At 43.0% G+C, this 14759-nt stretch overlaps 1 protein-coding gene and 1 pseudogene across 1 annotated transcript in view; one reads left to right on the top strand and one right to left on the bottom strand.

Moving 5' to 3' along the window:
* Positions 1–14759, bottom strand: part of CBL (Cbl proto-oncogene) — a 101811-nt gene that overhangs the window by 12762 nt on the left and 74290 nt on the right. The window contains exons 10-12 of the mRNA NM_005188.4: positions 10288–10419; positions 9822–10199; positions 7442–7536 (exon numbers count right to left, since the gene is read on the bottom strand). Of these exons, the coding sequence (NP_005179.2) occupies positions 7442–7536; positions 9822–10199; positions 10288–10419 (605 nt within the window). The remainder of the gene's footprint in view (positions 1–7441; positions 7537–9821; positions 10200–10287; positions 10420–14759) is intronic.
* On the top strand, positions 5711–5826 carry RNU6-262P (RNA, U6 small nuclear 262, pseudogene; annotated as a pseudogene).

Below are 14759 nucleotides of genomic sequence, written 5' to 3'. Positions count from 1 at the left end.
GGAAATGAATGGGTACTTTGTTACAGAGCTGTAGAAATAAGGAATTGATACGTTTCTGTTGTGTAATTCAACAAAAGTATTTACCAAACATGCATACTCTTGGTCTCAGAAATTCCATTTCTGAGAATTTTCCCTAAGGAAACCATCAAGAACATTCACTGCAGCATTATTTATAATGCTGGAAAATTAGGCAATAACTTCAATACCAAATAATAATGTACTGAATAAATACTGAACCACACAACTGTGTCCCCAAGTGCCTTAGAGGTTCCAAGCCGGAGCCACGGAAGCCTACTGCTGCTTCTACTACAATAGATCTGTTCTTATCTATTTTACAAACTGAGATTCCACTTTAGTTACACTGATGTATAATCGTGAAATAATTTGAAAATCATTGCAACAGAATATGTAATAACATGCAAAGATGTTCAAGATATTTTTAGTGAAAACCAGCAATGACAATATGATTTCATACAAGGAAGAATGGCAATGAACATGTATCAAATTGCTAACTATTGTCTGATAGGATTACAGGTAACATTTATTTCTTCAGTGTTGCTTACCTATATTTCCTTTTCCTTTTTTTTTTTTCCTTTTTGAGACGGAGTCTCACTGTGGCACCAGGCTGGAGTGCAGCGGCGTGATCTAGGCTCACTGCAACCTCTGCCTTCCAGGTTCAAGCGATTCTCCTGCCTCAGCCTACCGAGCAGCTGGGACCACAAGCACATGCCACCACACCCAGCTAATTTTTGTATTTTTAGTAGAGACGGGGTTTCACCATATTGGCCAGGATGGTCTCGATCTTGACCTCATGATCTGCCAGCCCTGGCCTCCCAAAGTGCTGGGATTACAGGCGTGAGCCACCGCACCCAGCCTGCTTACCTATATTTTCTAAATTTTAGTTAACATGTATTATTTTTGTAAAAAGGGCCATTAAAAAGGCAATAATTTTTTTTTTTTTTGGAGACGGAGACTCAGTCGTCCAGGCTGGAGTGCAATGGCGTGATCTTGGCTCACTGCAACCTCCACTTCCCAGATTCAAGCATTTCTCCTGCCCCAGCCTCCCAAGTAGCTGGGAGTACAGGCACCCGCCACCACACCCAGCTAATTTTTGTGTTTTTAGTAGACACAGGGTTTCACCATGTTGCCCAGGCTGGTCTCGATATCCGGACCTCAAGTGGTCCACCCACCTTGGCCTCCCAAAGTGCTGGGATTACAGGCGTGAGCCACCGTGCCTAACTTTTAAAAATTTTAATTATAATTCTCTGTTAATAAAGTCCATAAAATACATAATTGAACCTCCTTCTCACAAAGCATGTTGGCAATATATGCTTTAAAAGAAAGAAGACACTGGAGAGCAACCAGGCAGCCACGACTTAACAGGCTAAGATTCAAGAAAGAATACATTAGAGTAAGCCCTGTATTAGGGGTTTTGAACTAGGCGTTTAAAGTAGTCTCAATGGGCTGGTGAGAATGCTACGATTTAAATATGTCCCCCAGTTTCACATGTTGGAAACTTAGTTACCACCTTCATATGCTGATGCCTGGTTACAAGGCAGCAGGAAGGCCCTCACCATGCCAGCGCCATGCTTTTCAACATTCCAGCTTCCAAAAGCGTGGGCTAAATAAACTTCTTTTCTTTATAGATTACTTAATCTCAGGTATTCTGTTATGACAACAGAAAACAGACTAAGAAGAGACAGGAATTTTGGGGTATAATGACAGCCAAGGTATAAGGGACCAAAAAATACAGAGGAGGGAACAGCAGAGAAGTATACCTGAAATGCCAGCAATTTTCCCTAGAGCTATTACAAATCCCTAAACTGTTTACGCTTGGGGCTAGATTTTGAGAAAACAAGCAGAAAGCAGCAATTGAAAAGCTAAATAGATATTTTGGCTGTCTTGCCAAGCTGGACAGAGTTGGAGTTACGTATGGCCATTAAAATAATAATTTATGTGTTCAATAAAAAAAAGAAGATGGGATGGGCACGATGGCTCACGTCTGTAATCCCAGCCCTTTGGGAGGCAAAGGTGGGTGGATCACTTGAGGTCAGGAGTTCAAGACCAGCCTGGCCAACACGGTGAAACCCTGTCTCTACTAAATATACAAAAATTAGCCAGACGTGGTGGTGGCACATGCTTGTAATCCTAGCTACTCAGGAGGCTGAGGCAGGAGAATCGCTTGAACCTGGGAGACAGAGGTTGCAGAGAGCCGAGACTGCACCACTGCACTCCAACCTGGGCGACAGAGTGAGACTCTGTCTCAAAAAAGAAAAAAAAAAGGATGGAATCGATACATTTTTAAAAATCACATGGAAATACTAGAACTTAAAAATACAACACAGACATCCCCAACTTACAATTTTTCAACTTTACAATGGTGCAAAAGTAATAAACATCAAATACACTTCTCTACTTACAATGGAGTAATATTTGGAAAAACCCAGTCGAAAATACTGTAAGTCAAAATGCACTTTCAATTTACAATGGGTTTACTGGGACATAACCCCATCTTAAGTTGAGGAGCAACTGTATCGAAAAATAAAACTGGGCAACACAGCAAAACCCCGTATCTACACAAAATACAAAAATTAGCTAGGTGTGGTGGCACACATCTATAGTCTCAGTTACTAGGGAGGCTGAATAAATTTAAAAATCAAAGAAAATAGGCCGGGCGCAGTGGCTCACGCCTGTAATCCCAGCACTTTGGGAGGCCAAGGCGGGCAGATCACGGTCAGGAGATTGAGACCACCCTGGCTAACGTGGTGAAACCCCGTCTCTACTAAAAAAATACAAAAAATTAGCTGGGCTTGGTGGCGGGCGCCTGTAGTCCCAGCTACTCGGGAGGCTGAGGCAGGAGAATGGCATGAACCCGGGAGGCGGAGCTTGCAGTGAGCCAAGACTGCGCCACTGCACTCCAGCCTGGGTGACAGAGCAAGACTCCACCTCAAAAAAAGAAAAGAAAAAAAGAAAATAAAGTATGCCAAGAAAAAAATAATGGAAAAAAAAAAAAAGACATCAGCATAAGAGCTCTCGGAGACATAGTGAAAAGGTCTAACATTCCGGAAAAGGTAGTCCCAGAAGAGGAGGACAAAGAGGGACTGCAATATTCAGTCTGTTTTCAGGAAAAGTGGCTGACAATGTCCTAAAACTGATTAAACATATCACAAACTAAATAAACTTTACCAAACTTACGGAGGTTTGGTTCTAGTTAGTGTCTGAAAAAGAAAAGGAGGCCAGGGTGCAGTGGCTCATGCCTGTAATCCTAGCACTTTGAGAGGCTGAGGCAGGTGGATCATTTGACATTAGCAGTTCGAGACCAGCCTGGCCAAAATGGTGAAACCCCATCTCTACTAAAAATACAAAAATTAGCCAGGCATGGTGGCACATGCCTAAAATCCCAGCTACTTGGCTGAGGTGGGAGAACTGCTTGAACCTGGGAGGCAAAGGTTGCAATGAGCTGAGATCACAGCATTGCATTCCAGCCTGGGTGACAGAGTGAGACTCTGTCTCGAAAAAAAAAGTATGAAAACTTATGAAGGATTAAAAGATAAATATAAACAAAACCACAAAGGAAGATACAGTAAAACTGCTGGGACCCAGAGCAGGGGAAAACGTTTTGTAGGCAGCTAGGAAAATAAGCATTATCATTTTTTTAAAAATATATATTTTTATTTTTTGAGACACGGTCTCACTGTGTTGCCCACGCTGGAGTGCAGTGGCACAATCATGGCGCACTACAGCCTCGACCTTCTGGGCTTAGGTGATCCGCCCACTTCAGCCTCCTGAGCAGCTAGGACCACAGGTGTGCACCACCATGCCCAGCTACATTTCTGTATCTTTTTCATAGAGATAGGGTTTCGCCATGTTACTCAAACTGATCTCAAACCCGGAGTTCAGGCAATCCGCTTGCCTCGGCCTCCCAAAATGCTGAGATTACAGGCATGAGGCACTACACCTGGCCTATTTATCTGGCCTATTTATTTTTCAATTTTATTTTTTTGAGACAGGGTCGTGCTCTGTAACCCAAGCTGGACTGAAGTAGTGCCATCACAGCTCACAGCAGCCTCAACGTCCTGGGCTCCAGCAAACCTTAGCCTCCCCAGTAGCTGGGACTATAGGCGTGTGCCACCATGGTTGGCTGATATTTTTTGTAAAGATGGGAGTATTACTATGTTGCCCAGACTGGTCTCAAACTCCCAGACTCAAGTGATCCTCCTGCCTTGGCTTCCCAAAGTGTTGGGATTACAGGCGTGAGCCACCACTCACAGCCAAGAAACATTACCTTTAAAGGAGTAACATTAAGGCTGACGGCTAATTTCTCAACAGAAACAATGGAAGCCAAAAGAGAGTGGAATGATATTTTTAAACTGCTGAAAGAAAACAACTTCAGTTCAGATGCTACACTGGGCCAGGCGCAGTGGCTCACACCTATAAATCCCAGCACCTTGGGAGGCTGAGGCAGGCAGGTCACTTGAAGTCAGGAGTTCGAGACCAGCCTGGCCAACATGGTGAAACCCTGTTACTACTAAAAAATAAAAAAATAAAAAATTAGCTGGGCATGGTGGTGTGTGCCTGTAATTACTTGGGAGGCTGAGTCAGGAGATTCGCTTGAACCCAGGAGGCGGAGGTTGCAGTGAGCCAAGATCGTGCCACTGGACTCCAGCCTGGGTGACAGAGCAAGACTCTGTCTCAAAACAAAACATACTAAACAAAACAAAACAAAAATAGATGCTGTATTCAGTGAAAGTATCTCTTTTTTTTTTTTGAGACAGAGTCTCGCTCTGTCGCCCAGGCTGGAGTGCAGTGGCAAGATCTCGGCTCACTGCAACCTCCGCCTCCTGAGTAGCTGGGACTACAGGTGCCCACCACCATGCCTGGCTAATTTTTTTGTATTTTTAGTAGAGATGGGGTTTCACCGCATTAGCCAGGATGGTCTCAATCTCCTGATGTGATCCACCCGCCTTGGCCTCCCAAAGTGCTGGGATTACAGGTGTGAGCCACTGCGCCCAGCCAAGTATCTTTTTAAAAAATTAAAAGTGGGCTGGGCACAGTGGCTTTCGCCTATAATCCCTGCACTCTGGGAGGCCAAGGCGGGCAAACCTCTTGAGCCCAGAAGTTCGAGACCAGCCTGGGCAACATGGCAAAACCCCATCTCCACAAAAAATGCAAAAATTAGCTGAGTGTGGTAGTTCGCATCTGTGGTCCCAGCTACTCGGGAGGCTGAGGCAGGAGGATCACTTGAGCCTGGGAAGTTTAGGCTGCAGTGAGCCAAGACTGCGCCACTGCACTCCAGCCTGGGCAACAAACAGAGATGCTGATTTAAAATACTCTGTAGGCTGGGTGTGATGGCTAACATCTGTATTTCCCAGCATTTCAGGAAGCTGAGACAGGAGGATCTCTTGACACCAGTAGTTCAAGACCAGCCTGGTCAACACAGCTAGACCTTGTCTCTATTAAAAATAAAAAATTAAAAACCTAGCCAGGCATGGTGGCGAATGCCTGGAGCCCCAGTTACTCAGGAGACTGAGGCGGGAGGATCTCTTGAGCCCAGTATGTTGAGGCTGCAGTGAGCTATGATTGAGCCTTTGCACTCCAACCTGGGCAACAGATCAAGACCCTATCTTTAAATAAATAAATGAAACAAACTCTAGTAAGTCAAGAGTGCATGATGGAATCTCTTGATAACTATTAAAGAATAGAAGGAGTTGTGCTCACTTCAGCAGCTCATACACTACAACTGGAACGATACAGAGATGATTACCATGATTATCATGGCCTCTATGCAAGGATGACACACAAATTCATCAAGCGTTCCATATTACAAAAAAAAAAAAAAATAGAGGAGTGAAATGGTATAATACAGAGGTTATGCAAATACTAAAAGACAGGTGATGTAGCCACTTTCATATATGGCAAAGCAGACTTAAGGCAGGCAAGAAATAGAACTACAGAGTAAAAGAGGTATTTGGTTATAATAAAAACTTACTTAGTATCAAAAATTCTAAATTTCTATGTACCCCAATTACATAGGCTAAATATACAGATAACACAAATAAATATAACTAAAAGGAAAAGAAAAAAACCACAGTCATAGGTGGAGAATTTAACATTCTCCTCTCAGTTATCCAATAGCAGAGAAATTTTAAAAAAGATTCTAGGGAGATACAAGATTTAACACAATTAACAAACTTGACCTCATTAACTTATATAGAATGCTACAACCCAAAAACTGCAAAATACACATTCTTAGGAACTGAGGGTGATACAAATTACCAAATTTTACCATAAACTAGCTGACAGTATGGTTTCTGACCACATTGGAATAAAGCCAGCAGTAACAGAAGGATAACTAGAAAATTTTCAAATGTATGAAAATCAGGCAACATATGAGTAACTCATAAATTAAAGAAGAAATTACACATAGAAAAAGTATGTATTTTGAACTTAATGAAAATATGACATATCAAAATGGGTGGAATACCGTAAAACATCTGTTTGTGTTCCCCCTAAAATCATCTGTTGAAGCCCTTATTCTCAGTGTGCGCATAGATTTTCATCAATAAACACAGTCAGGCTTCTGTATCCTTGGGTTCCCTGACTGCAACCAAGTTTGGCTCAAAAATACAGTATTCATTAGAGCCCACATACAGGGAGGGCCAACTTTTCATATATGTGGTTCCACAGGGCCAAGGGTGGGACCCGACCATGTGCGTTCTGGTATATGCTGGGGTCTTGGAACTAATCCCCTGCATGCATATATACTGAGGGGTGGCTGTATTTGGAGATGGGGCCTCTAAGGATGTAATTAAGGTTGAATGAAGTCATAAGAATAGGAGGACCCAGTAGCATTGGTGTCCTTATAGGAAGAGACCCCAGAGAGCTTGTGCGTGCTCTCTCTCTCTCTCTCTGTCTGTGCAAACACTGAGGATGGCCATGTAAGGACATAGTGAGATGCAGGAAGAGAGCCCTCACCGGAAAGCCACCATGCAGGCACCCTGATCTCAGACTTCCAGCCTCCAGAACTCAGGGAAAATAAATTTCTGCTATTTAAACCACCCAATATGTGGTATTTTGTCATGGCAGCCTGAGCAGATCAACACAGCGTCCATTTCATGAAGCTAGGAAAACAGCAAATTAAACTTAAAGAAAGCTGGAAGAATAAAGAGCGCAGAGCAATGAAACAGATGGCAGATATCCAAAATTACTTCCTTGAAAATATTAATAAAATTGACAGGCCCCAGCAAAACAGATCTAGGTACACATATGCAGAAAAAGGAAAAGAAGGAAATACTCTAAAACATAAAATATAATCATTTCTACATGGTGCAGAGATTTTTATTTTCTTTTTTACACTTTTCTGGGTTTTCTCAATTTTCTGCAAGTAAGCTTTTTACAAGTAACAACTCCACTGTACAAAATATAGCTTTAGCAGACTTACCTGGCAGCCAGAGAATAAATGGCATTGGCAGATGAGGAAGGTTTGATTTTGGGGTGGTCACACTCTGGACCTACTAATGGGCTGCTATTCATACTCTGGAAAGTAAAGAAAAGTGTTGAAAAACAACTTTCTTACCACAGCTGAGCCTCTGCTCTTATTGAACCTTTTCAAAATAACAATAACAGATACAAACCTAACTCTCAATGCCATGCCCAGGGGTTATCACATCTGACCAAACGCTTAGGGGCCTTAAGGCTCCGAAGAACCTTCAAATGTAAAGTTTAGAGAGGTGGAGATCTAGAAAGAGCCAGGGAAATGAACTTTTTGGTTTAATTCTAAAAAGATTTGAGTAAATTGGCTATCTACACAAATACCATTAGTATCTTAAATAATCTATATCCAAACGCAAAATGGTCATTCTATACTGATGCTGCCAGAAAGTCAAACCTAATCCACACTCACTAATTAGGCTATCCACCCCACAGGTACCACTTGAGCATTACCCTTTCTCTGCAACCAAGAGATGCCATTCACTTAGTGCCACAACACTTCTCAACTTCACTCTTCCCATTCTGCCTCCTTGGATTTCTGACTGCCTACTTGCTGATGCTTCCATCAACTGCTCATTTCAAATGCAACAGTCAGCCAGGTAAAAGTTTCGTTTTTACGCGCATGCAGTGCACGTGTGGTACTTACCTTTTTTTCCACCCACTGACTGCTTTTCAAGCCTTAACAAGTCTTTATTTCATGCTCTCGAAAGGCTTCGACCTAATCATCTGGCTGCCCACTCTGCTCATAAACAATGATTCTCTCTCTTGCTCATTTAGTACTGGCTATATTAAACCCCTTTGTTATTCTTCAGTCTCTCCCAAACTCACTTGCTTTTTCCTTCATCCTGGAATAATCTCCCCTGGGATCAGCATGGCACATCCTCCTACTGCTACAGGTTTCTGCTCAGAATTGTACTCTATAACTTCACATACCTCCCACTCCTATGCCAGCTTTCTCTATACCCTTCTTTGGGCTATTTTTCTCCATAGCACTTGTGACTGTGAACATACTATGTTATTCAATTAACATGTTTATATTCCATCTTCCTCCCATTAGAATATAAACTTTGTGAGGGCAAGACTTTTTGTTAAGTGCATAAATGAACAAAACATCAAATATTCCTCTCCCACCTCTCAGTTCTGGACCCTTTCTTGCATATTTAGACAAAGGACCAATAACCTACCCCCTTCAAATGCTCTTCATTTCCTACCATACAAATTAAAATTCTTTTGGGAGAGGGTATTCAACTCTCTCTAATCTAGTGTGATGTTCCTTTCCAGTTCTTTCTCCTACTGACAAAATTTCTGCTCTACTTAAAATAACCTAATCATCATTCCACAATACACCTTAGGCATTTCTGTCATTGTGGCTGTTATCAATCTGAAAACCGTATCCACTTTCCAAAGAAATACTTCAGATCTCAGATGCCACTCCTTCTATAAAGTTCTCATGATTGCCCTATCTGGGAATAACCTCTTATTTCTCTAAAACTTAAGTGTTTTCTAGTTAGATTACAAATGGCATTTATGAAAGGACATTTACTGCAATATTTACAAACTGCCTCATCTGGTCTGTGAATATACACATTTTTTTTTTGAGACAAAGTTTCACTCTTGTTGCCCAGGCTGGAGTGCAATCACCTGATCTCAGCTCACTGCAACCTCTGCCTCCAGGTTCAAATGAATCTCCTGCCTCAGCCTCCTGAGTAGCTGGAATTACAGACACCCACCACCAGGCCCAGTTAATTTTTTGTATTTTTAGTAGAGACGGGGTTTCATCATGTTAGCCAGGGTGGTCTCAAACTCCTGACCTCAGGTGATCCACCCGCCTCGGCCTCCTAAAGTGCTGTGATTGCAGGTGTGAGCCACCACGCCCAGCCATATTTCTTGAGGGTAGGAATTATGTTATAGCATCTCTGAATTCCATATAAAACTTATCACAAAATTTCAACCCATAAACTTCTATCCACACATATTTCTTTTTCTTTCTTCTTTTTTTTCAAGACAGGGTCTTACTCTATTGCCTAGGCTGGAGTGCAGTGGCGCCATCATGGCTCACTGAAAGCTTGGCCTCCTGGGCCCAAGCAATATTCCCACCTCAGCCTCCCGAGTAGCTGGAATTACAGGCAAGTGCCACCACGCCCAGCTAATTTTTGTAATTTTTGTAGAGACAGGGTTTCACTACGTCCCCCAGGCTGGTCTCGAAATCCTCGGCTCAAGCGATCCACCCACCTTGGCCTCCCAAATTGCTGGGATTACAGACATGAGCCACTGTGCCTGGCCCACACATATTTCTTAACAGGTTAGATAGTTTCAAAATTAAGACTCACCATGGAGGTATCCAGACTGAACGTGCTTCCGAGCCTAGGCACATCTGGTCTGGGCTCCATTTGTGAGGGCAATGAAAATGGAAGTGAGTGCCGGTTGGTTAATTCTCTTCCTGTCCAGGGATCACTGGAACTTGGGGCAGATACTGGTACTTTGGGGATTGGCCGGGGCAGCCATGAGTCTCCAAGGCGGCTAGAGGGGACAGGGGGCAGTTTGTCTCTGGAGGGACAGTCGCCTGGTGTACAAGGCAAGGGGCGTCTTTGAGGTCGGGATTCTGCTCCAACAGAATATGGCCGGTCTGGAGGCGGTGGTGGTGGAAGATCTCGAAGTGTGGGAGGTACTGGCAATGGTTTGTCTTTATGAAGGGAGCCAGAAGCAGCCTGTGGAAGCAGGGTGAAAGCAAATCAGTAAAAACCCACTAGTACACAGCAAAGAATCCAAAAACTGCAGTAATGGAAAATGCTTTACCTTAGAAGCAGTTCCAAGAGCAGAAGCACTTGAGGGAACACATACTCGCTGCGGCAGAAGGTCAAGTCGTGGTGGCACCGGGGGAAGGGAAGCTTGTGGGGCCATGGAGAATGGAGAAGGCGGCCGTTCCACCTAGGGTACATAAAAAATTTAACAGATTACTTTCGTTTGGGGAAATGGCATCTTTCAACTCTCCTAAAGCTGTGGATGGCAAATACCATGGGAACACTTAAACTACAAATGGGCCAGACCTAGGTTTGAGGTCGCACACACCCTCTTAAAAAACTTCCAGAGACTCTAGCACTTCCTGAATAATTTTTGTGTCACCATAAGAGGGCACTCTCAATCACAGAAACACCATACCCATGGCAAGCTACAGGTAATCTATCTAGAAAGGACAGGGCTACAAAAAGTTTCCTAGTTTACAACTTTAAAAATTACAACAGTTTTCTACCCCCTCATCTTTGGAGAAAGAAAAAAATCTTTTCAAGATTAAAAATAGGAATCCATATAAAAAGTAAGGGGCAGGCCATGCACAGTGGCCCACACCTGTAATACTAACATTTTGGGAGGCAGGAGTTCGAGACCAGTATGGGCAACATAATGAGACCCCATCTCTACAAAAAATAAAATAAAAAATTAGCTGGGCCATGGTGGCACACAGCTATTTGGGAGGCTAAAACAGGAAGACTGCTTGAGCCTAGGAGTTTGAGACTGCAGTGAACCATAATCTAGCCACTGTACTCCAGCCTGGGCAACAGAGCAAGAGCCTGTCTCGACAAAAATAAAATAAAAAAAAAGGATGGCAGTGGGGCGGGGGGTGCAGATATTAACCTCTTAACAAAGTACCTGGGAAAACAATGTTTAAGGGACATAATAAAGAAAGAGATCGATGACGGTGAATTCTCTATGGGTTATTAAGGTAAGAAAGAAGATGAGAGTCGGTACAGTGGCTCACACCTGTAATCCTGCATTTGGGGAGGCAGGAGGATTGCTTGAGGCCAGGAGTTCAAGACCAGCCTTGTCAACATAGTGAGATCCCTCTAAAAAATTTTAACTAAAAATTTTTTTAAGGTGAATTTGTAAAGAAAAATGATCAAGAATATCACTAAAAAGCATCTTGAGTCCTTCCAAAGAAATAAATTATTTCAATTCAATAATTAAGGCCAGGCGTGGTGGCTCACGCCTGTAATCGCAGCACTTTGGGAGGCTGAGGCGGGTGGATCACGAGGTCAGGAGATCGAGACCATCTTGGCTAACACGGTGAAACCCCGTCTCTACTAAAAATACAAAAAATTAGCCAGGTGTGGTGGCGGGCGCCTGTAGTCCCAGCTATTCAGGAGGCTGAGGCAGGAGAATGGCATGAACCCGGGAGGCGGAGCTTGCAGTGAGCCGAGATAGCGCCACTGCACTCCAGCCTGGGCAAAAGAGCAAGACTCCATCTCAAAAAAAAAAAAAAAAAAAAAAAAAAAAAAGAAAGAATTAAAAAGGATTAATATTTTCTGTCAATTTGAGCTCTAAAAAATGAGGTACCAAATTAGAAGAAAGAACACATATATAACCTTTTCCATTTCCCTGCCTATAGCAGGCTTAGGAATAGCTGATAAGCTTGTCAAAGTAAGCTGTCAAGAGATACACAGTAATTCATTAAAAAAAAAATGCTACTCTGCATTTAAATTCCCCAACAGCAAAGCAACACTGACAGAAAAACAGCCATATTTAGTCATGTTATTAGTGCTGGGTGGTGGATGACAGAAAAGCTCTCATCTTTAACTCTTTGCTTTATCCACATGCTTAAGATAACGGGTTCCCAATTAGCTGACAATGCAGCATGAGCAGCTAAACAGCTCAATGACAAAAGTCAAAGTTACTAGTCAAGCCTCCTCTCACTTCATCATAATTATTTTGTCAGTAGCTATATCCTGCTGATTTTTCCCTAAAAGATTCTCATACCTGTATATTTCATTTCATTCTACTTACCAACCCCAGACCTTACTTATTTATGGGAGACAGGGTCTTGCTCTGTAGCCCAGGCTGGACTGCAGTGGCACAAACATGGTGCACTGCAGCCTTGACCTCCTGGGCTCAAGCCATCCTCCTGCCTCAGCCTCTCAAGTAGCTGGGACAAGCTGTGCGCCACCACATGTGGCTTTTTTTTTTTTGGGGCGCGGGGAAGGCACGGGTAGACGGGGTCTTGTCATGTTGCCCAGGGTGGACTCAAACCTCTGGGCTAAAGTGATCCTCCTTGCCTTGGCCTCCCAAAGGGCTGGCATTACAGGCGTGAGCCACCGCGGGTGGCCGTGATTTATTAAAACAACCTAGTGAACTTCCCAACTTGTAGTTTATCTCACCACATCCTTCTGCTTACCACTATCAGCTTAGCCATTCTTAAACACTCACCAACTCAAAAACCACCAGTAACTCCCAATTTGCCCTGTTACAAAATCTCACCCTCCTGCCCAGCTTTCACAAGTCTTTCTAATCTGGTCTCTGCAACCAAAGAAAGGTATTTCCCACAACTCCCTAACAAGCATCAACGCTGCTCTATTCAGGCTCATCTCCTCAGTGTTTCCTGCACATTCTAATGATTATTTCGACTTCCGTATCATTCTTTAAATCCTTTCCCCATTCTGGAAGGCCCTCTCTGCCGATCATCAATCTTTCTCTCATTCCTTAGGCACAGAGGGTTGAACTAATCATATTTTTACATTCATGTCTCAACATCATAATGGATCCTTGCAATAGTCTTTTTTTTTTTTTTTGAGATGGAGTCTCACTCTTGTTGCCCAGGCTGGAGTGAAATAGTGCGATCTCAGCTCGCTGCAACCTCTGCCTCCCAGGTTCAAGCCATTCTCTGGCCTCAGCCTCCCAAGTAACTGGGATTATAGGCATGCGCCACCATGCCTGGCTAATTTTCGTATTTTTAGTAGAGACAGGGTTTCACCACACTGGCCAGGCTGGTATGGAACTTCTGATCTCAGGTGATCTGCCCGCTTCGGCCTCCCAAAGTGCTGGGATTACACGCATGAGCCACCGCACCCGGCCGCAATATTCTTTTATCATAGCATATAAGGCTCCAGAAAAGGTGGAACCTTTATAAATTTATAAATGGAAAATAAGTGATCAGAGAAATACAAACATTTCCAAGACTTCAAGACTTAAAGGACATAAATATCCAAATAGAAAGGGTTTATTACATACCTAGCTCAATGAAAGAAAGGAAACCCACAACAAACAAACCAAAAATACCCTTACAATTTTCATCAAATCAAGGATGAGGAAAATATCTTAAAAGCTTCTGGTGGGCCAGGTGCAGTGGCTCACACCTGTAATCCCAGCACTGTGGGAGGCCGAGGCAGGCGGATCACAAGGTCAGGAGATCAAGACCATCCTGGCTAACATGGTGAAACCCTGTTTCTACTAAAAATACAAAAAAAAATTAGCCAGGCGTGGTGGCAGGCGCCTGTAGTCCCAGCTACTCAGGAGGCTGAGGCAGGAGAATGGTGTGAACCCGGGAGGCAGAGGTTGCAGTGAGCCGAGATTGCACCACTGCACTCCAGCCTGGGTGACAGAGCAAGATTCTGTCTCAAAAAAAAAAAAAAAAAAGGCTTTTGGTGACAGAGGGAAAGGAAGCGCTGAAAAGCAAAAATACATTAGAAGCTAGAAGTCAGTGAAGCCTTAACAATTTAGAGCAGAATATTTATTAATCTAGAATTCTGTAACTAGTCAATTCACGTTTGAGGGTTGAATAAAGGCATTTTAAGATACCAAAGATCTCAAGAAGTTTATCTCTCACCCTTTCACAGAAAGCTACTTTAAGGACATAAACAAAGAAGCAAAAAAGAGGAAAACATGGGAACCAAGGTACTCCAACAGAGGAGAGGCAATGAAGTCCCATGAGGATGGCGAGGGGACACCTCAGGGTGACAAGTAGTGTGGCACAGGAGTAACTGGAGCAGACTGGAGCGGAACACAGATGACTCCTATTTCCTACAAAGCAGTACACGGTATCACATACTACTATACTAACAGATTTTATTTCATAGAAACTATATTGAGAGGATGTTTGAGAGTATGATATGATTTGGTAGTGACAGGTACAAACTGAAAACTAAGAAAATAAAAATAATTATACCAGGAAAAGCAGAAAGTTGTATAAGAAAGCAAAAGTAATTATTGTATAGTATGTTACTTGGCACAGTAAGGAGTGAAATCATGTAAACACTAGTACTAAGCCAAATTCAAATAACTGTAGTGGGAGGATATGGAGTAGGGAGGAGGGAGATATAAGAGACCTAAACCCTCTCCCACAACATCTGAGGTGAAGAGATCAAGAATCCAGAAAAAGCAGTATAAGCACATGGTTAAGAAACACAGAGGTAGTAAACAGTTTCAAGAATTAAAACTCTGAACGAGGGGACAGAGAGGTGCTGGAGGGGGCAGAGGCAGGGAACCAATGTTTTTGTAAGTTT

The sequence above is a fragment of the Homo sapiens genome, chromosome 11 (assembly GCF_000001405.40).
Source record: "Homo sapiens chromosome 11, GRCh38.p14 Primary Assembly".
NCBI classification, from domain to species: domain Eukaryota; kingdom Metazoa; phylum Chordata; class Mammalia; order Primates; family Hominidae; genus Homo; species Homo sapiens.
Note: the sequence above shows the minus strand (reverse complement) of the source record. Positions and strands in the feature narration are given on the sequence as shown.